The sequence below is a fragment of the Homo sapiens genome, chromosome X (assembly GCF_000001405.40).
Source record: "Homo sapiens chromosome X, GRCh38.p14 Primary Assembly".
In the NCBI taxonomy this organism is placed as follows: Eukaryota; Metazoa; Chordata; class Mammalia; order Primates; family Hominidae; genus Homo; species Homo sapiens.
Genome location: NC_000023.11, coordinates 4,544,539 through 4,570,322, shown reverse-complemented (window position 1 = coordinate 4,570,322; position 25,784 = coordinate 4,544,539). Strand labels below are relative to the sequence as shown.

Below are 25,784 nucleotides of genomic sequence, written 5' to 3'. Positions count from 1 at the left end.
TGGGCCAAGTCTTCACTTCTGTCTCCAGTTGGTTATTTACACTCTCATACCTCTTTCTACATGGTGCTTTCTCCAAAACAGCCTGCAGCCCAGTCAGCACATTCTTCCCCATCCAAGTCCATAAAAACCCCAGACTCAGCCTCATAGTTGGCAACCTTCTTTCAGGCCCCTCTCCACTACAGAGGGCTTTCCTCTTTTGGTTATTAAACTTTTGCTCCCACCTCACTCTTTGTGTCCACACTCCTTAATTTTCTTGGTCATTAGACAAAGAACCCCAGGTGATACTTCAAACAATGAGAGACTGCTACCTTGTGGTACATTAGTGAGATTGTAACAAAACAAAGTATATTCTCAGCCTACAATATAACTAAACTAGAAATCAATAACAGAAAGATAGATGACTATTCCCAAAATATCTGGAAATGAAATAATACTCTCTTGAATAACACATGGGCCAAAGAAAAAGTCTGAAGAAAATGTTTTAAATATTTTGAATTCAATGAAAATAAAAAATACAACTTATTGAAACATGTGGAGTGCAAATGAAATTTTAAAACAATAAATGCATATATTAAAGAAGAAAGATCTAAAATCAATAATCTAAGCTTCCACCTTGGCAAAGTATAGAAAAAGAGATACATTTTAAAAATTTAGAGCAAGAAGAAGGAAATAAATCAAAGCATATAACAATAAATTTTAGAACAGCCCACAGAAAAAAATCAGCAACCAAAAAAAGGTTATTTAAAAAGATCAGTAAAATTTTAAAACTTCTAGGTATACTATCCAAGCAAAAAGAGAAAAGACACACTCTAGTAATATCACATATGAAAGACAGGTTATCATCAATGATTCCACGGACAGGAAAATGTAATAAAAGAATATTATAAATAACTTTATGCCCACAAATTTGATAATTTCAATGAAAAGAACAAAATTCCTGAAAGACACCAATCGCTAGAACTCATACAAAGACAAATATATCGTTTGAACAGGCTTATATCTGTAAAGAAATTGAATTGGTAATGTCTTTTCCAAAAATGTACCAGGACCACCTAGTTTAACTACAGAATTCTACCAAACCTCTAAAGAATAAACATGTAGTAGTCTGCTTGGGTTGCCATATGAAATGCCACAAAATGCGTGCCTTAAATAACACAATTTTATTTTTTCACAATTCTGAACACTAGAAGTCTAAGATTAAAGTGTCTACAGGTTTGGTTTCTTCTGAGAACTCTCTGCTTTCTTGTAGATGTCTGTCTTCTCCCTGTGTCCTCACATCATCTTTTCTCTGTGTGCAAACACCCTGATGTCTCTTTCATTAGGACACTAGACATAATGGATAAGGGCCCCATCCCACTGACCTCATTTTAGCTTATGGCCTCTTTAAGGGCTTTATCTTCAAGTAAGGTCACATTCTGAGGTACTGTGTGTCAGGATTTCAACATATGAAGACTGCAGGGTGGCAATCCAGCTCATAAGAAACAACCCCAATTTCCTAAATCTTTTCTATGAAATAAGAGCAAAGGGAACCTTTTTTATGTCATGCTATGTGGCAAGTGTGATCCTAATAACAAAACCAGATAAAGACATTGCACAAAAGAAAAACTACAGGCCAACGTCTCTCATAAGCATAAATGCAAAAATTCTTAACATAGGTAATAGCAAATAGAATTCTACAAGATTAACCAGATAAAGATAATGCACAAAACTAAAACTACAGCCCAATGTCTCTTATAAACATAGATGCAAAAATTATAAACATAAGTATTATCAAATAGATTTCTACCATATGTGAAAATATATATACACAATGACAAAGTGAGGTATATCCTATCTATGCAAGGCTGGTTCACATTTGCAAACCAATTAATGTAATCAGCAAGCTAAAGAAGAAAAGTCATCAGATTATATAAATTAAAGCAGAAAAAGCATTTGCTATAATTCAGTACCACTTCATGAAAAACAAACAAACAAAAAACTCTGAGCAAGTTAGGAGTAGAGTCCTTAATTCCTTGATTTTATGAAGAATATCTCCACACATCCTAAAGCTAATATCCTACTTAATTAGGAGAAACTGAATATTTTGGCCCTAAGATCAAGAACAAGACACGGATGTCTCCTCTCACTATTCCTAGTTCAAATTGTGATGGAGGTTCTAGGTTATGCAATAAGACAAGAAAAAGAGATACAAATTATATAGATTGGTAAAGAAGATATAAAATTGTCTTTTTCCTCATAGATAATATGATTGTCTCTGTGGGAAATCCCAAAGAATAAACAACTACAACAAAAACTCCTGGAAGTAATAAGTGATCACAGCAAAATGACAGAATACAAAGTCAGTGTAAATATTCAATTGCTTTTCTATTCACCAGCAATTAGTAATTGAAATTAAAAAATAATTAAAGTATTACTTAATTATCACCATAAAAAACAATTGATTATTGCAAATAACCAGTGCAAAATCTACCTTTATGTTAGGGCTTTGTGTATGTGTATAATAACAAAATATTATAGACAACCTCAAGTCTGTTAGTAGGGAGATGGCTAAACAAACCATTGTATAGTTATGATCATTTATAAAGCATGACACACAGAATTATAATACTGATCTGCATGTACTGTGATCCACCCTCAAGCTACATTATATAGCATATAAGTACCATATAGTGTTATTGAAGAAACACATCAGATTGTCCACATGTTGTCTACAGGTATTTATACATATACCACATGATGATCGCTATCTCTCAAGAAGTGGCAGGAAAACGAAACCCTACAGGAAAATAAAAATTTGTAACTTTCACATGATTTGTATGAGGTAACTAGCGTCATCACCTTCCTTACAGATGGGGCAATTGAAGCTCAGAGAATTACTGTTAACAGTGTTACCATCTACAGAATCAGAATTACACTTAGTCTGCGAAGTTTAAAAGTTCATGCTCTTGCACCAGAGCCTCCTCATTTTATATTCATAAAGCAAGTAAAATATATCCCAATGAGAGGTATTATCTAGAAGTAAAATATGACACTCAGCATCATTGGAATGGATATCATTAGAAGATCCATTTCCATATTATAGGGCCATTTCTGATCTCAGTAAATGACCCATATTAAGTGATTTGTAGATCTTGTTATAAAACCTCCTAATAAAAATTCCTTTGTAAGTATCCAACTCATTTCAACAAGAATTCATTAGCTTGTTTTACCAATGTAAGCAAGTTTAGAATTAAAGTTTAATACCAAAGGGTTTTGGAGATCACGGGAGACCACTTGCAGGGCTGAGATGAGAGATACAAATTTAGAAGTGAGAGAAGAAGACTTCAAAAAGTAGAGACTGGGCTCTAAAATAAAGGATGTTGAAGACCTGTAGCAAGGTAAGAAATAAAACAAAACAAAACAAAAATCAAGGATGTACTATTTTCACTGTGGATTTTCTTATTTTTGTATATTCTTATTTTTCAGTATATCCCCCAAAATATACAGCTACCCTCAATAGAAGCCAGTCATGATCACAAACCTAAACTTTAAATAAGTGGTGTTGAATGCACACAGAAATCTATTAATATCAGACTCTTTCTGATTTCAGAACATTTCTACTAGCTAGGATACTGCCATACCATTTGAATTTTGATTTTCAGTATAGAACCTAAGATTACTTCACTATTCCTGGATATTACTTCGTCTATTTAAGAAAAATTTTGTCTTTGTTTCTTTTCTTCCTCCCTCCCACTCTCCCTCTTTCCTTCCTCACTCCCACCTTCCCTCCTTCTTTCCTCCTTCTCTCCCTCCCTTGATGATGTGAATTTTGTTCTGGCGTAAATTGAATGACTCATCTGCCACAAAGTTGAATTCTAACACAGGACGGTGCTTGGTTTCACATAGTGTAATCACAATTTTGTGCATTTTAAAATTAAACAACACTGAGATCCACAACAGCAATGGAAATCATTAACATGTGGAGAACTACCATCGGTTGCCAAAATTCTTTCCACATCGGCTGCCTATACTTGAGTCCTCTGCAGCCAGAGGTTGCTTTGTTTCCTCCTTTGGAAGCTAGAAGAATTGCAAATGGTTGTGTGATATTTAAAAACTACAGGGATGCCATCCTCCAAAGAGAATAGACTGGGGCTGAACAGGTGTATATTCTGTGAACTTTGTTTTCCAAAAAGTCTGGTTGAGTGTTCAGCGTCCAACTAGCTACCAAGAAATATGCCAAGGTCTGCAAAGTGTAGAATGCCAAACGATGGCAAACTGCCCTTCCATGCATTTCAACAATTCATGCATTTTTTTCCTTTAAATAATAAGCCAATTTTACCCTTTAGATTCAACCAGCACAGCTTAGGGGATGACACATGCATAAGGTATACTGTCAGAGTGGTGCACTTTGTAAAATAGAAAGAAATGAAAATAAAATAGAAAGAAAAACAAAGCAGATGATTTGCTAGGAACTCTGTCTGACTTGTAGTTTCCCAGCCCATAACATTGTCTCTAGGGAAGAAGAAGAGTTCATCTCAGGCTGCAAACAGACAGTAAATGGTAAGAAGTCTCAGGTTCTGAGACTTGGATAACCACAGTAAGAATCCCCCATGTCAGAGCGTTGCAGAGCTCAGCTTTCCAAAGTGGAGATTTCTAACGAAGAGACAAGTTTCCCGGTGTAGTGAGGGAGTTGGGCTTACAGGATTTTTCATTTTGCTTACTTTCAGGGTGCATGAAGATTTTTCATTATCAAGTTTATTATTGTCAGATCTTGACAAAAATCAGATTTCATAAAATGTTAAAGAGTATCTACAACAATTTTTTAAAACACAGTTAAAAAGCTCTTCTCTTCTCCCTACCCCATTTAATTCATCAACCTAGAAGATCTGGTTAAAGCCCTCTCTTTAACAATTTAGAAATGGTGTGTTACCATGGACTTTTGTTTGAGTGATATAAAATAACTCTTTGGGTAGCCTTGCAAGAAAGCATGTAACTCTGTGTTATGCAAATGTAACACCAGGAGGCTGGGCACGGTAGCTCACACCTTTAATCCCAGCACTTTGGGAGGCCGAGGCGGGTGGATCACCTGAGGTCAGGAGTTCAAGACCAGACTGGCCAACATGGTGAAACCCCATCTCTACAAAAATACAAAACTTAGCCAGGCATGATGGAGGGTGCCTGTAATTCCAGCTACTCGGGAGGCTGAGGTAGGAGAATTGCTTGAACCCGGGAGGTGGAGGTTGCAGTGAGCCGAGATGGCGCCATTGCACTCCAGCCTGGGTGACAGAGCGAGACTCCGTCTCAAGAAAAAAGAAAAAAAAAAAAAAAAAGGTAACACTAACACCAGGAGGCCTTGGGATTATCCACCTATTAGTGCTGAGATTGAGAAGCTGTTAAAAGTGATCCTTCTTGCTCCAAGCTTGTGCAGGATATTTTTTGGTTAGAGCATTTTGTTGCATATTGACCATGTCCTTCATCTTCTCTTAGTTTATGTGTCAATTCACACTAGTCGGTTCAGCTCCTGGTGTCTATATGAAGAGACTGGCTGCCAAAATCTTTCATCACTCTGCCTGCAACTATGAAAAAGTTAGTTCTAAAAAATGCAAGCTTGCTGTATCGACTACCAATAGGATTGGATCAATTCTGCTCTGTCTGTTCCAAATTGTTGTGGTGTACATCTTTGCCATGCACGGTTTGTAGGAGTTATTGCATCTCTAATTTCCCACCAATGTTTGAAAACATATTTAGATTTATAGAATTTTATTGCTTCAGACAGAAAAAAGCATGTAGTTCTAACCAAAAGGTCCATGAATTCCGGCAATATCACTGAAAATCAATGGCCTTTAAGAGTATTTCCTATTTCTTACTATGGGTCAAAATTTAAGAATAACTCTGGCCAGGTGCGGTAGCTCACACCCTGTAATCCCAGCACTTTGGGAGGCTGAGGCTGGCAGATCACTTGAGCCCAGGAGTTCAAGACCAGCCTGGGAAACATGGCAACCAAGAAACTCTGGTCCAATTACAATTTTTTTTTTTCTGGTAGAACATCTGGAGAGGCCTCAGAAAAGAACCCATCTTCACAGAGAAAATGCATTTAACATAGCAGAGAGAGAGGAGAATCGAATTAGGATGAAGAAAATGGCAGAGGGTTCTCCAGGGAACAGCCTGGGTGTCTTGAGTGTACCACCTGGAAAACCAGTGAGAAATTATCATGTAGTCATAACTTCGAACTTACTGTTTCTCCTTTATTAATTCTATGTAGAGGTTAAAGAACATAAGCTATGTGTATGTGGCTGTCATAAGAAAGTACAACAAACTGGGAGCTTGAAACAACAGAAATAAATTCTCTCCCAGTCCTGGAGACCAGAAGTCTGAGATCAAGGTGTCTCAGGGCCACATATCCTCTGAAGGCTCCAGAAGAGTAGCCATAGGGCATGTTGTACAACTTTCAGAAATTCTCAGAAATCTTAGCTGCATTTCATTCTTTGACCCTCGATTTCCATCTTCCAATTATCTCTTTGGAAAATGATGTGGCTTTCAAAAAAAACCTTATAAATTGTGGTTTACAATTATTACCATGGGGTAATAAATACTCAACAGAAATTTCTAGCCAGTATCAATCCCTAATATGTTCTGTCCTGTGAACAAATACCCTGAAATGTCATTGGGAAGGACAGATTCGCTTTGTCTCAACCTTATAAGCATATACATCTTTAGCAATGGAAGTTCTTTCTTTTCTTTCTTTCTCTCTCTCTCTTTCTTTTTTTTTTTTTTTTTTTGAGACAGGATCTTACTGTCACCCAGTCTGGAGTACAGTGGCAGGATCATGGCTCACTGCAGCCTCCATCTTCTGGGTTCAAGAAATCCTCCCATCCCAGCCTTTCAAGTCACTGGGACTACAGGCGTATGCCACCATGACCGACTAATTTTTGTGTTTTTTGTAGAGGTGGGGTTTTGCCAGAGAGCTCCCTTGCCCCTTCCACTGTGTGAGGACACAGCGAGAAGGCACTGTCTATGAACCAGGAAGTGGGTCGCCACCAGACATTGAATCTGTCACACCTTGATATTGGACTTCCAGACTCCAGAATTGTGGGCAATAAATGTCTGTTGTTTATAACCTGCCCAGTATCTTTGGTGTTTTGCTATAGCAACCCAAATGGTCTAAGAAAATACCAGAGTCTATACCTAATAAAAACATCGTCTTCACAATTTATCGTACTTACCAATCAGGTGACTGTTTTTCCACTAAAATAATTACATTAGTCCTCTAATGGGTGAGTTAGGTCAATGAATTTTACTGAGTAGGACACTTTTCTTACTATTCTTGATAAGTTTCAGAAACTGGTCTTTCCAATTAGTTAAGCAAATTAAAAAAAAATTACTGTTACAGAGCAAATGTGTGTGGGGGGCCTTCTGCTAATTACTGGTAGAGTTTTTCATTGGATGTACATAGGTATATGGATACCTGGAGGTTCTTCATAAACACTTTATCAATGTAGCAAATATTTTCATTTTAGCTGGATTAATGACTCTACAAAAGAAATGCCTGGCAAAAATAAATTCTGATTCATTTCATATTAATTCCTCAGGAGTACCTAGCAATTTATCATTTAGGAGTGTTAGATCTTTATTCTATGGAATAGATCTACGAGATCCCTCTCAAAGAAAACCGACTGGTTCTGCTCATGTATTTCACAATTGTTTTATATAAATTAGCCCCATGGGACACATCATACATGTTTTATTTTATGTATAGAGGCCTAGACTGACAGTTAAAATCTGAATATATGAGATATATATAGTGTGTGTTCACACACACACATACACACATGCAGACACACACACACACGCACATATATATGTCACAGTTTCAAAACTTACATTGTAAAATTGTATTTTCAAAAATCGATAAGTTCATCCAAAGACTAAAAGCTGGATGTTTCCAGAGCTGGCTCTAGTAGGCAAAGCATCAAATAAAGAGATGTGAAAAATCATAACCCCAGATATCTAATTATAAGAATGAGCCTTGGTTTGAAGTGCCCCAGCAAGCAGCACAACCTTTAAAACACAACAATAATGGAAAAATCAAATAAGCACCCATTTCATATGCCAACTCCTCTTCTTCATCCCTTAATATAAAAATCATATTTTGAGATGTATGTGATTTTCAATTTCTTGAAGAATTAAAGCACCACCTCAATTTTTTTCACAGAGATAGCTACAGCTGATATCATACAAGGGGGCTGCTGGTGGCATGGACTGAGTCTAATGTGTTTGTGGTTCTGAGATACCCTGGCATCTATTTTGCTGGCCATATTGTCTATGAATTTGGGGGTATGATTTCTAGTTACTCTGTCTGTTTTTGTGTGGGAATTTGGCAATAGATGAAAACTATGCAGTTACTACCACGCCATCTTCCCAGAAACCTATCCAATTTTTACTTAAGCAATTGTATCATCTCAGTTTCAATATTTGATAAATAGCCTTAATTGAAATTTTACTCTATGAAAAATACCTAGGTGAAGAGTTATCTGCACCCCCATGTTTATCGCAGCACTATTGCTAATAGCCAAGATATGGAATCAACCCAAGTGTCCATAAATGGATGAATTAATAAAGACATTGTGTTATGCATACACGATGGAATACTACTTAGCCTTAAAAAGAATGAAATCCTGTTACTTGCAGCAACATGGATGGACCCAGAACACATTATGTTAAGTGAAATAAGCCAGGCACACAAAGACAAATACCGCATAATCTCATTTATACCTAGAAATAAAATAAGTCAAACGTATAGAAGCAGAGAGTAGAGTGATGGTTACCTACCAGGGGTTGGAGGTGGTTGGGGGATTGGGGAGATGTTGTTCAAAAACGTAAACTTTTAGTTAAAACAGAAGGAATAAATTCAGGAAATCTATTGTACAACATGTTGTAGCTAAAAACAACATATTGTACACTTGAAAATGGCTACAATCGTGGATTTTAAGTGTTCTCACCTTAAATAAATGAAAAGTATGTGATGTAATGCCTATGTTAAGTAGCTTGATTTAGCCATTCCACAATGAATACATATTTCAAAGAGGTCTGGAAAAGCACCATCCCAGGCATTTAATTATAAGAACGAGGCTTGGTTTGAAGTGCCCCAGCAAATAGCACCACCTTTAAAACACAACATTATGGAAGAATCCCATAAGCACGCATTTCACATGCCAACTCCTTTTCATCCCTTAGTATAAAAATCATATTTTGAGATGTATGTAATTTTCAGTTTCTGAAAGAATTAAAGCACCAGCTAGATTCTTTCAAATTATTTAGATCACATGGTACACCCTAAATATACATATAATTTTTATTTGTCAAATTAAAAATAAATGAATAATATGGGAAAGTCTTGAGAAATTCCAATTTTTATTAGTTGTGTTCCAGGGAACTATTAATCTTACAGAGATTTGTCCCAGCCAGGTCACATCTGGAAAAAATATCATGAAGATACAAGAATGTATTTTGATTTCCCTTATATGAGAAATTGTACTCCTTACCTTGGACTATCTCTGTAAAGGGGTGTGTGTGTGTGTGTGTGTGTTTGTGGACACACAATAGAGTGGACATTTGAAAGTTACATTTTACATTTTTGCCCCTGAATATAATCTAACCTCTCCAATGCAAATGTCGCTCCCTTATTATATTTTAGGACACTTAACAATTGCCATGGCAATTGCAAATAAATCAGAACATGAATATATAATATTATAACACTAGTATTTGCAGTAGAATGATGCTATTATTTGCAGTTTATAGGCTTGACTGCCCTAGGCTTTAGAGAATAGGATGTGAATGTGCAAATAGAACAAATATTACTGAAGCAAACAGAAGTTCCTCTGCCTCTCTGCCTACCACACCCAACATTGCTGCACACTTCTATGTGCTTGTCCATCTCCACAGATCAACCTACTTCCATTTGCTCACTGCTGTCCCTACTGCACCACTGAGAGCAAATATCACTCCCTTGAAACATCACAATTGCTAAGTTGTAGCAAGCACTTCCTATGTGTCAGACAATGTCTCCGGGGCATTATCTACTTTACCGCGGGAAGGAGATCACTTGGCACACGCAGTTGCCATCTGTGTACCAATGCAAGAAAATGGAGACTCAGAGAGCTCGAGGAACTTGTGCAAATAAGTGGCCTGTCCAGAGGCCGAACGCTAGCCTCACTTCCTCCAGTAACAGCACCCTGAGCTACTGCGTTCCACTGTCTTTCAAGAGTACATGCTTTGCCTTTTCTTCCACAGGTATTAGGTAGGTAGATGTTTATCTGTCTTAATGCACTCCCTATACACTGTGGTAGAAACGATTGCACTGTGTCAAAAACACGTATGTAATTATCAGTGTATCTGAGTATACTATACATTCCTCGAGAGCAGTGACCTAGATTGTCTTGACTTTGTGAACCTTTTTTATCTATTTATTTATTTTTTATCACAGCAGCTGCTAAAGAAAAGTCAGCATAGGCAGGCACAAATTAAGGTTCATGAAGTCTAAACAAAAAGAAAACAAATCAGAGCCTCGGTTAAGCTAGAGTTGTATCACTCCTGTCTGACTGATGCGGGAATCCCTGCGCAGCTGCAAAAACTAAGGAACACCGAGGGGAAAAGAAACGTTTAAGCCATCACTGACCTCAAAAGCAAGAAAGAGTAATTCCAAGGGTCGGAATAGAAGAGAAAATAATACTCTAAATTATAAGACGGAGGTGAAGCTTTGAAATGAAAAGGCCAATTATATGTAAAGAAATGAAAATACACGTAACTCCAGTCAATGCAAGACTACAGAACATGTAGGTATCTTTAAAAAGTTGCATAGAAATAAATGTTAACAAAGAATTTTAAACCACATTTAAATAGCATTCAAGATTCAGGACCCAAGAAAATATGTTTAGACATCCAAGCATGCAGATAATGTGCTGCTAATATGACTCTAATAGAAATAATTTCTAGAAAATATGCTTCAAAAACATGACAATTGGATGCATAAAGTAAGTTGTGATGTAAGAAGCAATATTAAGCCACAGACTAGTAACTGCAGTTGTAAATGTACATTTAAAAATTTTATTTTTAATTTTCGTGGGTACATAGTAGGAGTATATATTTTATGGTGTGGACATGAGATATTTTGGTACAGGCATGCAATATGTAATAATCACATCATGGAAAATTGGATATCCAACCCTCAGGCATTGATCTTTTGTGTTACCAACAACTCAATTATACTCCCTTATTTATTTTATTATTTATTATTTATTTTGAGACAGAGTCTTGCTCTGTCGCCCAAGCTGGAGTGCAGTGTGATCTTTGCTCACTGCAACCTCCACCTCCCAGGTTCAAGCAATTATCCTGCCTCAGCCTCCCAAGTAGCTGGGATTATAGGAGCCCACCATCATGCTTATTTAATTTTTGTATTTTTAGTAGAGATGGGGTTTCGCCATGTTGGCCAGGCTGGTCTCGAACTCCTGACCTCAGGTGATCTGCCCACTTGGGCCTCCCAAATTGCTGGGATTACTGGCATGAACCACCATGCCCAGCCTCTTTTATTTTTAAATGTACCATTAATCATTATTGACTGTAGTCTCCCTGTTATGCTATCAAATACTAGGTCTTTCTAATTTTTTTTATAGGCATAGTAGTAAATACAAAAGTTTAATTTTGTGGAGTATGTAAAAAGGTAGATTTAAAATACTGAAAAATGCTGCATGGAAGATAGAAGATGAAGATGATGTTTAACATGTTTTAAGACTCTTGTTTTTCAGGAGAAAATTAGGGATATTGATTAATACATATATTTTTATATATACATGTTAACATTGCAGAATTAACCATTAAAGATGAAATGATTAAAAATGAAAGTGAAATTCCAAACCAATAAAAGGGAAAAAAAGGCTGATAAACATTATCAATCTAAGAGATGGCATAAAAAAAAAAAGAGGAACAGAAAAGAAAACTGAAGAAAAGCATCATGTTATATTAAAAACATGAAATGACCAAATTAATAGTCATATATGTAATAAAAAAGGAGAAAAAAATTATCTCAGCAGTTGAAGTGAATGAACTAGAGCTATTATATATGATTTAATGTTGCGTGAAAATGCTGTAAGCAGAATATAGATTCAGTTGAATGTAAAAAAAAAGAGGAATTCTATCTATGATTATCTATGATTAATGGTTCCATGTATGAGTATTTTGAAAGTGTTCTCATTGTATTGGAATGATACAAGACTGATTCATGAAAATGGTTTTCTGGTGAAGGAGGGAGAAAGATTTAGCATAAGGTTAAAGGGATACTTCCTGTATCCCATTTTTTAAATATAAATATCTAAACAGAAAGTTAATATTTACATTTATTAATTCTAGATGGTGGCTACCGGAATTTCATCATTCTTGTTTCATTTTTCCTGTACTTACAAGTATTTTAAAACATACAAACATGTATCCATAGCAGGTAAGCATTAGAGGAACAGGACAATGAGTTAAGAATGAAATCTACCAGCATGTGACAGCTTGAAACCTCAAGCTTTCCTTTTCCTTTTTAAAATTTTTCATTTCCATAGGTTTTTGGGGAACAGGTGGTATTTTTTGGTGACATGAGTCAGTTCTTTAGTGGTCATTTGTGAGATTTTAGTGCCCCCATCACCTGAGCAGTATACACTGAACCCAAAGTCTTTTATCCCTCACCCCATTCCCACCCTTTCTCTCCTGAGTCCCTGAAGTCCATTGTGTCATCCTTATGCCTTTGCATCCTCATAGCTGAGCTCCCACTTATAAGTAAGAATATATGATGTTTGGTTTTCCATTCCTGAGTTACTTCACTTAGAATAATGGTCTCCAATCCCATCCAGGTTGCTGCAAATGTCATTAATCCATTCCTTTTTATGGTTGAGTAGTATTCCATCATATATATACCACAGTTTATTTATCCACTTGTTGACTGATGGGCAGGGGGCCGGAGAAACCACAGGAATTTCAATGACAAAGTGTGGTTGCAGAAAATATTCAAAATTGGAAAACAACAACAACAAAATATTCTGGAGAAAGACCACAATTTGGGCCACGTCCTCTCTCACTTTCAAGTTAACCTAAGCATGTGTGGTGATGAATAGAGGCAGAATAAGAGATAGCAATAGAAGACCCAACTGTTAATAAGTTTGTTAATTCTGGAAACCCAAGTTGTGCAAAATGTGGACAACATCTCAGACTTCATCAAGGTTCTGGGGAAAAAATGTACTAGACTAGGTAGGCACCTGATTCTTGTTGAAGGCTCTCCATAAATGCTGGTCAAATCAAGTAGGATTTTTCATCTATCATCTAACCTTCTCTGGAAACCATGAGGAGTCATTATAACAAGACACAACCTAAATGTTCATCAATGATAGGCTGGATAAAGAAAATGTGGTGCATATCCAATGTAGAATACTATGCAGCCTTAATAAAGAATGAGATCATGTCCTTTGCAGGGACATGGATGGAGCTGGAGGCCATTATCCTTTGCCAACTAATGCAGGAGCAAAAAACCAAATACCACATGTTCTCACTTAAATAGGAGCTAAATGATGAGAACACATGGACATATAGAGGGGAACAATACACACTGGGGCCTTTCAGAAAGTGGAGGGTGGGAGCAGGGAGAGGATCAGGAGAAATAACTAATGGATACTAGGCTTAATACCTGAGTAATTAAAAAAATCTGTACAACAAACCCCCATGACACATGTTTACTTCTGTAACAAACCTGCAGGTTTTGCACATGTACCCCTGAACTTAAAAGTTAAAAAAGAAGGACACAAATCCTAATGCTGTAGGGTATACTATGTTTGACACTAGATCATCCAATCACATGCCTGGTATTTATTATGTCATCTCTCTTTATTACATCACAACATATTATGTGTTAGCATTACTGCTTGAGTTTTACTCTAAGCTGACCAAAACACTTCGCTTTATCTGCTGGAGAAGATATAATACATGGTCCCATAGCATTTACTCTGAGGAGGCGCAGCAAAGTTGCAAAAGTTTGTTTCTAATACATCATTGTTAGTAGTTTTCTCTGAAACCTGAGTCTCCAAAGGGACTCTACAAAGGAGAAAGATAATCATGGTGTAAAAACAAAAACAAAAACAAAAACAAACAAACAAAAAAACCCCTGCCAGGCACTGTGGCTCACGCCTGTAATCCCAGCACTTTGTGAGGCCAAGGCGGGTGGATCACGAAGCCAGGAGTTCGAGACCAGCCTGGCCAATACAGTGAAACCCCGTCTCTACTAAAAATACAAAAATTAGCCCAGCGTGGTGGTTCACGCCTGTAGTCCCAGCTACTCAGGAGACTGAGGCAGGAGAATTGCTTGAACCCAGGATGTGGAGGTTGCAGTGAGCCAAGATTGTGCACTGCCCTCCAGCCTGGGTGACAGAATAAGACTCTGTCTCAAACAAACAAACAAAACAATTTATTGTATGAAAAGGCTCAGGCACAAAAACCGTAATCATATTAAAAAATGTAATATTGCAGATTGCGTACAAGAATAATTTAAACAACCACAGGTACGTGACCAAAGTGATATTAGAAGTCCCAAATTTAGTGGTATTTTTAAAACGACTGTCATACCACAAAATGCCAACGGAGATGCAGGAAAAGGTTTGATTATGAAGAAACAGCACACTTTGTAATGTTATTTCAGTTTGTTTGCCATTAAAGTATAGTTCATAAACAATAAAATGCACAAATGTTAACTAATGGCATGATGCATCAGTTTTACTAATTATATGTATGGAGGGTTAATTTGGAGCACTAACTTTAGAACGTTAGAAAGACCTTTTTTGAATTCTTTCAGGTTTAAGTGAATCTGATTCAACAATTTCTGCATGTATGAGTGTGTTTCAGCTGTTTGACTTAATCCTGAATTTGAATTCTACTGGGGCCTTAACCACTTTTTTTTCAGTGAGGTTTTTGAAAAAATTATTCTTCAGCCACCTTTACGTAAGTATTAGCTTCTTTGTAAGAAACCAAATCCCGTAATGCTGATTACTGAGAGAACTGTATTTGCATCTGAGTCCTGTTGAATCACAAATTGAAAGTATGTTTAATATTAGAATCTGATGTAAATGAAAAACCAAGGGGAAAAGAGCTCTGGAATGGGACTCTAAATGAAGACTGTCCTGCTGTAATTGTAATTCTATTGTTGAAAGAATATTATAAGCATATTCTAAACCTACTCCATCATTTGGGGAGCTGTAGTTTGGATACCAGAAAACTAGCTCTCTCTTTTTTTTTTTTTTTCCATCAGCTAAAAAGCCAGGATTGTTGATTTTTTTAAGTAAGACTGTAAAGACTGGGGTCCCTAGAGTGGACAATTCCCACTCATCTCAGGAATGTCAGTTTACAAAAGGCACAACCTCTCGTTATTCCTCTAAATTCACCTAACTGCTACTCCTGGAATACCAAGATACCAGGGCTTGTGTATCTTTCTGTCTTTTGAGTCACAAGTTCTTCTTTCAGCCTCAATCCATAGCTATTCCATGGTCATCCCAACAGGTAGAAAAATATTAATCAAATGGAAAGAGATCCTGCCACTAAACCTCGAAAACCATGGAAAACATTTACCATGAAACGGCCTTTTTCAGTACTCTACAAACAACATACTTAAACAGGTATCTAAAAACTAATATCCTTGGAGAAGGAGGTAAATTAGATACAGTCTAAAAACTGGAGAGGTTGAGGGTAGGGTTCACATAACCCTTCAAGGTGCACATTGTCTTCTGAAATGTTAAGTTTATGGTCGGCTCGCTGAAAGGCCATATAAATGATACGTTTAGCGTCTGTTAGCTGAAAGGCCATATAAAGTCCATTCAAAACTATAGGTTTCATTATTTCTAACTATTTTTTTGTACCCATTAACCAACCCCCCAACTACCCTTCCCAGGCTCTGGTAACCATCTTTCTACTCTCTATCTCCATAGTTCAATTGTTTTGATTTTCAGCTCCCACACATAAATGAGAACATGCAAAGTTTGCCTTTCTGTGTCTGGCTTAGTTCACTTAGCATAATGACCTTCACTTCTGTCCATGTTGTTGCAAATGACTGGACACAAATGATAAATACTTGAGGGGACGGTCCCCCGTTTGCCCTGATGTCGTTATTACACATTGAAAGCCTGTATCTTATGTAACCCATATCTTATGTAACCCATCTTATGTAACCCATATATAGATAAACCTACTATGTGCCCACAAAAATCGACAATAAAAAATAAATAAAACAAAACTATATGTTTCATCTGAGGCATTTTCATTCCCATCAAGTCTTTCAATACATTTTTTATTATCAAGAGCACTGACAGTCTTACAGCCCCATGTAATGTCAAAGAGATATGACTAATTATTCTTTTTAGTAACAAATTTATTATGTGTGCCCCTGTCTCACTACCCTTTGAACTCTCTGCTTTCCATATTTTCCCCCAAAGCTTTATGATTGTGCTGGAAAGTAAGAACTGCAGAGAGATACTCAGAAAGGTATGGACTTTGGAGCTAATCCAATCTGCATTTGAGCATTCTCTGTTGTGTGACCGAGGACGTGTGGTCAACCCATTATGAGCTTTGGTTTTCTCTTCTATGCTGAAGATAAATCGTGGTTTCTAACTCACAGAGGGAATTGTGAGAACCAAATCTTCTAAATTTTGTTTCCCCAAGCCTGGCACCTCCTATATGTTTCATATATTTGTGGGTGTTCTCATAATGATGATTTTAAAAATAATTGTGGTTATCTGGTATCTAAAGTAAAACTCACTCTTTTTATTGTAGGTTTGGCAAGTTTTGATAAAAATAGTAAGCATATTGACAATATAACCCATGCATAAAGTAGTGTCTCAACCTACACATCATGCTTTGACCTTTTGACAATAACCCCTTGCTATCACCTCAGCCCACCGGTACCACTAATCTAACCACTAATCTCTCCATATAGTGCATTATCCAGAATATTTTATAAATGGGTAATGCAATACGCACCCTATTGACATTGGCTTGTTTCACATAGGTTAATACAGTTGAGGTTCCCCCATTGTTGCATATATCAGCAATTAGTTCCTTTTGTATTGCTGGATGGTATTTCATTCTATACATATACTCCAGTTTTGTTTTGTTTTATTTAATCCTCAAATCCATTAAAGAACATCTGTGTTGTTTCCATTTTTTCATGATTACAATTAAAGCCACAATGAATACTCAATGACAGGTATTTTTTTAACCGACACTAATGTTTTATTTCTCTTTGGCAACACTTAGGAGGGGATTTCTGGGTCATATTGGGTCGGGTAGTGATATGGACAGGAGGCAGGGAAATACTGTGTAGAAGAGGGTGGTTCCCTGGCAAAAGCCACATCCTCAAGCCTGGAAACCCATGGCCCTAAATGGAAACAGGTATTCCTATTTTCACACCCAAATGTTGCCTTTTGGCCCACAACACCCCCCTATTTTGTACCCATATAAACCCCAAACCCCAGGCTCTATGAGCAGAAGAGCAGAGGAGCAGAAGAACAGCGCAGCAGAGAAGGAGAGAAGAAGAGAAGAGAAGGAGCATTTGAACATTGAGAGGAGTTTGGCTGGGGATGGTCAGAGAGGACATCAGCCATGTAACAGCCAAACTCCAGGGGAAGATTATCTTCCCACTCCATCCGCTTTCCAGCTCCTCATCCATCTCACTGATAGCCACCTCCATCTGGCAATAAAATCCCCTGCATTTACTATTCTTCAGTTTGTCTGTGTGTCCTGATTTTTCCTAGATGCCAGACAAGAACCTGGGTACCAAGAGGGCACTGAGCTGGTTAACACTTAAGTGGTCTGTGGATGGCAGAGCTAAAAGAGCACTGTAACACACCCACTGGGACTTCAGGAGTTGCAGGCACCCACCCCTAGAAGCTACCATGGAGTCAGAGCCCAAAAGCACTTGCTCCAGCTCCTGCGTCTGCCTGTCTGTGTGATTCCCCTTCCACAAGGGGTTTGAGCCAAGGCAGCAGGACAGACATGCCACACCCCTGTTACACGTCCTGCAGGGTAGGTCAGGGAACTCTCCTGTTTCAGTAGTACTTGCATATTTAGTTTTGTAAGAAGCCACCGCTCTGTTTTCCTGTGCTTGTACCATTCTGCGTTCCCACCAACAACATATGAGGGTTCTCTGCTATTCCCCCTCCTCACTGACGCTTCATATCATTAGGGTTTTGTTTTAGTATTTTTGTTCTTGTATGTTGATTTAAATTTTAGACATTCACACTCATGCGTGGTAACATTTCCCTGTGGTAGTAATTTGCATTTCCTTATGGACTAAAGATGTTGAGCATCTTTTCATGAGCCTATATTCTGTAACATCTTTGGTAAAGTCTCTATTCAAACAACTTGCCAATTTTTTAATTGGATTGTTGGTTTGGTGTACCAGACTGTGCATTTCTTAAAACGGAATTTTTTAAATGGGCTTGATTGAATGATTGCCATGGAGTACAGGAAGTCCCTGTGCAACTCTCAAGCAGTTCCTCTCATTATTAACATCTAATGTGGCTGTGCTGTACTTGTCAAAACTAAGAATCCGACATCATTGACACAGCACTCCTAAGTACACTTCAGACCTTTGGTCAGATTCCACCGGCTTTTTATGAACTTTTTTTTTTTTTCTGTCTCAGGATCCCATTGAGGGATCACACTGCACTTACTTGTCACCCCTCCCCCATGTCCTGTCTGTGGCCCTTTCTCAGACTTCCCTTGCTTTTTCATGACAGTCTTGAGTACTGTTCAAGTAGTCTGTGGAATATTTCCCATGCCACATTTGTCTCCTGTTTGTCTTATCATTAGAGTGGGGTTAGGGAATGTTGGGAACAAATACCACAGAGGTAAAGTGCCCTTCTCATCCCCTCACCAGCATAGAGGGATAGATAGATAATAAATAGATAGATAGATAGATAGATAGATAGATACATACATACATACATACATACATAGGTAATAGATACATGAGACATAGATAAATGATAGATGATAGATGATAGAAGATACATAGATACATGGTAGATTTTATAGATAGATATAGATATATATAACATACTATATTATATTAAAAACAAAAAATATTGCTAATTAATGTTATAAAATATATATTATATATTATATATTTAAATATATTATACATGACATAATATAGAATATAAGGTATAAAATTGTACATAATATATGTATAACTATATATAGTATACACAATGAATTATATACAATTATATTCATATTATATGATTGTGTACAGTTGACCCTTGAACAGGGCGAGGCTTAGGGGCACCAATCCCCTGTATGGTTAAAAGTTCACATATAGGCTGGGCACGGTGGCTCACGCCTGTAATCCCAGCACTTTAGGAGGACAAGGTGGGCAGGTCGCTTCAGGTCAGGAGTTCAAGACCAGCCTGGGCAACATGGTGAAACCCATCTCTACTAACAATACAAAAATTAGTCAGGCATGGTGGTGTATGCCTGTAGTCCCAGCTTACTCAGGATGCTGAGGCAGGAAAATCACTTGATCCCGGGAGGGGGAGGTTGCAGTGAGCTGAGACTGTGCCACTGCACTCCAGCCTGGGTGACAGAGTGAGACTCCGTCTCAAAAATAGTTCACATATAGCTTTTAATTCCACCAAAACTTAGCTAGCAGCCTACTGAAATCCACTGATAAGTGGATCCCCATAGTTTAAACTCATGTTGTTCCAGGGTCAGCTGTGTATATTGTATATAATACTCATTATATATAGTATAACACATAATAAAACTATTATTATTATTTTCTTAAGGCTACAGAGGATCTTCAGCTGCACAGGATTTCCTGCAACTGAAGACTTTTGTTCCACCTGCAAACTGCAAACCAGGAGTGACTTCCCATCAAGAACTATGAAGAGTCTGGGAGTATATCCTGTTTGCAAGTTAATAAAATAGCTTGCTGCAATGCTGCCATTCTATGGATGCTGGCAGAAGACACAGAACTTTTAGGTCTAAGACTAGAGACTTGTTTCCAGCAAAGCCATTGCCAGAGCATCAGCTTCTTTTTCTCAGGACCACAAGGGGGTGCTGAGGATGAACTTGGATGGGAACCTACACCTGCTATGGGCTGCCTTATAGGAGGGAGATACAGAGCCTGGGAAAAGTCGGCCACTTCATAACCCCCGATAAGCAGAGCCTGCTCTTTGTCCTGGAGGAAGATGTCACCTGCTCCTTCAAGGTCGAACATGTAGTAGAGCCACAACCCTGAGAAATACTCTAGGGAAAGAGTGGTCAGCACCTGGCATTCTTACTTAGCACACCCATAAGATATGGAGGACAAGAGACTCATGGAGAAGAGTCTCTGCCACTACTGTTCAACTCTCCCAAGACATCATCTTGGGGGCTTTTTCAGTTCCCTCAACTTGTCCCCAGTCTTCCTAGTAGGTAACAGGTAAAGTTTGTGAAGACTCGGTGACAGCTGCAAATTCCTCTTGTGGCTGCATCTCCCAGAGGTCCTACAACTTTATGCTAGTCCACTGTCAGCCTCAGCAAGCCCTTTAAGACTTTCTCCACATGTGTCTTATCCATTTGTGTGTTTTCTGTGTCTGTTCAAGGTAAGATGTACACACATCCCATCTCACCTTAGAAACGCCTGCCTTTCCTTGTATTTCAGCCTGATTGTTTGCACTATATATTCGTCAGGGTTCCCCAGAGGGAAAGAACTAATAGGTTCTATGTCTATATGAAAGGGAGTTTATTAGGGAGAATTGGCTCACACCATCACAAGGTGACACCCCACCATAGGCCATCTGCAAGCTGGGAAAGACAGAAACTGGTAGTGGCTTATTCCAAGTCCAACAGCTTCAAAAGCAGAGAAACTGACAGTTCAGCCTTCAGTCTGTGGCCAAAGGCCCAAGAGCCCCCGGCAAACCACTGGTGTAAGTACAAGAGTCCAAAAACCAGCCAGGCACGGTGGCTTACACCTGTAATCCCAGCACTTTGGGAGGCCAAGGCAGGTGGATTGCTTGAGGTCAGAGCCCAGAGTTCAAGACCAGCCTGGCCAACATGATGAAACCCTGTCTCTATTAAAAATACAAAAATTAGTCTGGTGTAGTGGTGGGTGCCTGTAATCCCAGTTACTTGGGAGGCTGAGTCAGGAGAATTGCTTGAACCCAGAAGGCAGAGGTTGTAGTGAGCCAAGATCACACCACTGCACTCCAGCCTGGGCGATGGAGTGAGACCCTATCTCAAATAATAATAATAATAATAATAAATAATAAATAATAAATAAATAAGAGTCCAAAAGCCAAAGAACCTGGAGTCTCATGTCCAAGGGCAGGAGGAACAGAGTGAAGCATCCAACATGGGAGAGAGATGAAAGCCAGAAGACCCAGCAAGCCAGCTTCTCCCACCTTCTAACCATCTGCTTTGCTTTAGCCACACTGGTAGCCAATTAGATGGTGCCCATCCACACTGAGGGTGGGTCTTCCTCTCCCACCCCACCGACTCAATGTCAATCTCCTCTGGCAACACCCTCACAGACACACCCAGAAACAATACTTTATCAGCTGTCTAGGCGTCCCTCAATAGTTGACACCTAATATTACCCACCATACCCTAAAACTGGAGTTTTCTGACAGATTCAAGAAACTTTAGATTTAGTTTATGATGTGTCCTTGATTTTGCCGTGATTGTTGGAGCGATGATCTTCTTACAAGCTTTCTACATCCTAAGTTTAAGCTAGAAGGCTAAACTTTTTATTTTGTAAAGAAGGGCTTCAAGTTGATCTGTTTAAACACTAAGTTTAAATTGCTGGCTTTCAGTAAAATGTTCAAATGCGTTTTTTAAAGATAGACATATCCTTTAAAATAATTAGTCTGAGTGAAGTTGTAGTTTCTGTCCATAAATTTATTATATGTCAGGAATATTTATTAACATGGAGAAGGGGATAGAGACCAAGCTGATGGGTAGGTGACCTTAGATCTAGCACCGGAGGTGGAAGAACAACTTACAGAAAGAACTGAAAGTAATCTCCTTTAGTCTCCATAGGGCTACACAGTATGCAGTCTTTACCACACAGTAGGTGCTCGATCTAGCTTCAATGAATGAACGAGTTACTTAATTAATAGTCTAATGCCTGTACTGTTATGTGTGGAAGAAAAATCCAGCCAATACGATTTACAATGCTGTCTATAACCACTTCACTGAATCTGGGAACTAAGTGAATGCTCCAAAAATATTCCCAGTTATGTCTTTTTCCTAGTTCTAACCTGGTCATATTAGCATTTCAAATTCATCTCTGATGGGTGAAAATCTAATTCTTTTCTCCCATCTTTTTTTTTTTTTTTTGGTGGTGTTCCATTTTTTTAATGTACAGGAACTAAAAATTCTGTTCAATTCAGTGAAGGGTCCATTAACTTAATTAGGCTAAATGCATCTCTTTTCAGCTGGATTCAACTTCCAGCCTCAATTGTGCTTCTCTTTGTCCCACCCGGGTAAACATTTCTTCACAAAAGCTATATTTGCTCTCCTCCTCAGCATCTTTTCGGAGAATGCCCCTTTTCTGGAATCAATGCCCATCACCAAATATCTGTCTGGAAAGACTGCATTTAGATATTTATGTTTTCATGGCACCCTAAACATTGAACAAATAGAGATGATTGAAGCATTTGCATGGTTTGAACAAATACCATGACAAAGTTGTGGTTTCGGCACCTCCATATGAACGCTCATTATGCACAATTGACCCTCTCCAGGTGTTGGCAGGTGTAGTTAAAACAAAGCAAAGCCCTTGAGGGGGTCACTTGAAGATGCCAGATTTTTAAGGAAAATTTCACTTCTCAGCAACTCAAATCAACATCGCCACCTGCTGGCCATTGTCTGATATGGCATGCCCCATGAAGATGGCACTAAGAGGTTATGCAAATGTGCATTGAACATTAGCAAGGCAACTTTTTACAATGCATATTAACATGTCCCGCGCTTACATAAAGTATCATGCTCGATGCACGCATAAAAATAGTGATAGCCCATGCGAAAAGCATCATGGGTGACCACGGAACGCACATTTCTAGGAATACGTAGAGTTCTTGGACTTACCTGCATATTAGCATCACCTGAAACCTTTAAAATTTCACATTTCCGCAGGTGCATTTCAAAACACTTAAGTAAGTCTCTGATAGTGGGACTCAGAGGCATTTCTTTCTCCAAAGCTTCCAAGTGATTCTAAGGTGCAGCCAAGCTTAGAAACATAATTGAGCCTTTCTCTACTGCATGGCTTAGCTGAGAATGATGTTGACATTTGAGCTACAGATTACATGGCCGAATGTTGAGGTAGGTCTGTTGTAATTAAAGAGAGGTTTGGAAACCTCGCTGGGCTAAAAGCCAGGCAGCAACATTTCTAGCATTACTTCTGTGAATTATAGCTGCTTGATGTGGGGCCAATACACACTTTCATCAGATCCTATTTCCCTTTTTTTTTTTTGACGGAGTCTCGCTCTGTCGCCAGGCTGGAGTGCAGTGGCGCGATCTCGGCTCACTGCTACCTCCTCTGCCTCCTGGATTCCAGCGATTCTCCTGCCTCAGCCTCCCAAGTAGCTGGGACTGCAGGCACGTGCCACCACACCCAGCTAATTGTTGTATTTTCAGCAGAGACGGGGGTTTCACCATGTTGGCCAGAATGGTCTCGATCTCTTGATCTCGTGATCCTCCCGCCTCGGCCTCTCAAAGTGCTGGGATTACAGGCATGAGCCTCTGTACCCGGCTCTATTTCCCTTTCTTTAAGGGTGCACTGGGCTGTGGGCTTTCTAAGGGATTTAACAGTTCGGAGTTCTGCTTATCTCTCTGTTTGAAAATAATTATGGCATGAATCAGAGCAGAGATGAAACATTTCAGAGTTAGTTTAAGTTAGTAGTTGTATTTCAGAGCATCTATTTCGTTGGCAATAATGTTACATGAGGACATACAGAGCAGGTCATTGTCAGGCCTCTGAGCCCAAGCCAAGCCATCGCATCCCCTGTGACTTGCATGTATACGCCCAGATGGCCTGAAGTAACTGAAGAATCACAAAAGAAGTGAATATGCCCTGCCCCACCTTAACTGATGACATTCCACCATTGTGATTTGTTCCTGCCCCACCCTAACTGATCAATGTACTTTGTAATCTCCCCCACCCTTAAGAAGGTCCTTTGTAATTCTCCCCACCCTTGAGAATGTACTTTGTGAGATCCACCCCTGCCCACCAGAGAACAACCCCCTTTGACTGTAATTTTCCATTACCTTCCCAAATCCTATAAAACGGCCCCACCCCTATCTCCCTTTGCTGACTCTCTTTTCGGACTCAGCCCGCCTGCACCCAGGTGAAATAAACAGCCATGTTGCTCACACAAAGCCTGTTTGGTGGTCTCTTCACATGGACGCACATGAAATTTGGTGCCATGACTCGGATCGGGGGACCTCCCTTGGGAGATCAATCCTCCGTCCTCCTGCTCTTTGCTCCCTGAGAAAGATCCACCTACGACCTCAGGTCCTCAGACCGACGAGCCCAAGAAACATCTCACCAATTTCAAATCTGGTAAGCAGCCTCTTTTTACTCTCTTCTCCAACTTCCCTCACTATCCCTCAACCACTTTCTCCTTTCAATCTTGGCACTACACTTCAATCTCTCCCTTCTCTTAATTTCAATTCCTTTCATTTTCTGGTAGAGACAAAAGAGACACGTTTTATCCGTGGACCCAAAACTCCGGCGCTGGTCACAGACTGGGAAGGCAGCCTTCCCTTGGTGTTTAATCATTGCAGGGATGCCTCTCTGATTATACACCCACGTTTCAAGGGTGTCAGACCACGCAGGGACAACTGCCTTGGTCCTTCACCCTTAGCAGCAAGTCCCGCTTTTCTGGGGAAGGGGCAAGTACCCCAACCCCTTCTCTCCGTGTCTCTACCCCTTCTCTGCTTTTCCGGGGACAGGGCAAGTACCCCAACCCCTTCTCTCCGTGTCTCTACTCCTTCTCTGCTTTTCTGGGGACAGGGCAAGTACCCCAACCCCTTCTCTCCTTGTCTCTACCCCTTCTCTGCTTTTCTGGGGCAGGGGCAAGTACCCCTCAACCCCTTCTCCTTCACCCTTAGCGGTAAGTCCCGCTTTTCTAGGGGGCAGGGGCAAGTACCCCCCAACCCCTTCTCCTTCACCCTTAGTGGCAAGTCCTGCTTTCCTGGGGCAGGGGCAAGTACCCCTTAACCCCTTCTCCTTCACCCTTAGCAGCAAGTCCCACTTTTCTAGGGGGCAAGAAACCCCAAACCCCTTCCCTCCGTGTCTTTACGCTCTCTTTTCTCTGGGTTTGCTTCCTTCACTATGGGCAACCTTCCATCCTCCATTCCTCCTTCTCCCTTAGCCTGTGTGCTCAAGAACTTAAAACCTCTTCAACTCACACCTGACCTAAAACCTAAATGCCTCATTTTCTTCTGCAACACCGCTTGGCCCCAATACAAACTTGACAATGGCTCTAAATGGCCAGAAAATGGCACTTTCGATTTCTCCATCCTACAAGACCTAAATAATTTTTGTCAAAAAATGGGCAAATGGTCTGAGGTGCCTGATGTCCAGGCATTCTTTTACACATCCGTCCCTTCCTAGTCTCTGTGCCCAGTGCAACTCGTCCCAAATCTTCCTTCTTTCCCTCCCACCTGTCCCCTCAGTCCCAACCCCAGGCGTTGCTGAGTGTGTCTAATCTTCCTTTTCTACAAACCCATCTGACCTCTCCCCT

The 25,784-nt window shown here is 39.3% G+C and overlaps 1 annotated feature.

Moving 5' to 3' along the window:
* Positions 23,381-24,580: an enhancer, noted in NCBI's record as "CDK7 strongly-dependent group 2 enhancer chrX:4463784-4464983 (GRCh37/hg19 assembly coordinates)". NCBI's record gives its function as "activates an origin of replication core promoter dependent on BRD2, BRD4, P300/CBP, MED14 and CDK7 cofactors, with strong dependence on CDK7, by STARR-seq in HCT116 cells {active_cell/tissue: HCT116}" and the evidence as "EXISTENCE:reporter gene assay evidence [ECO:0000049][PMID:35650434]".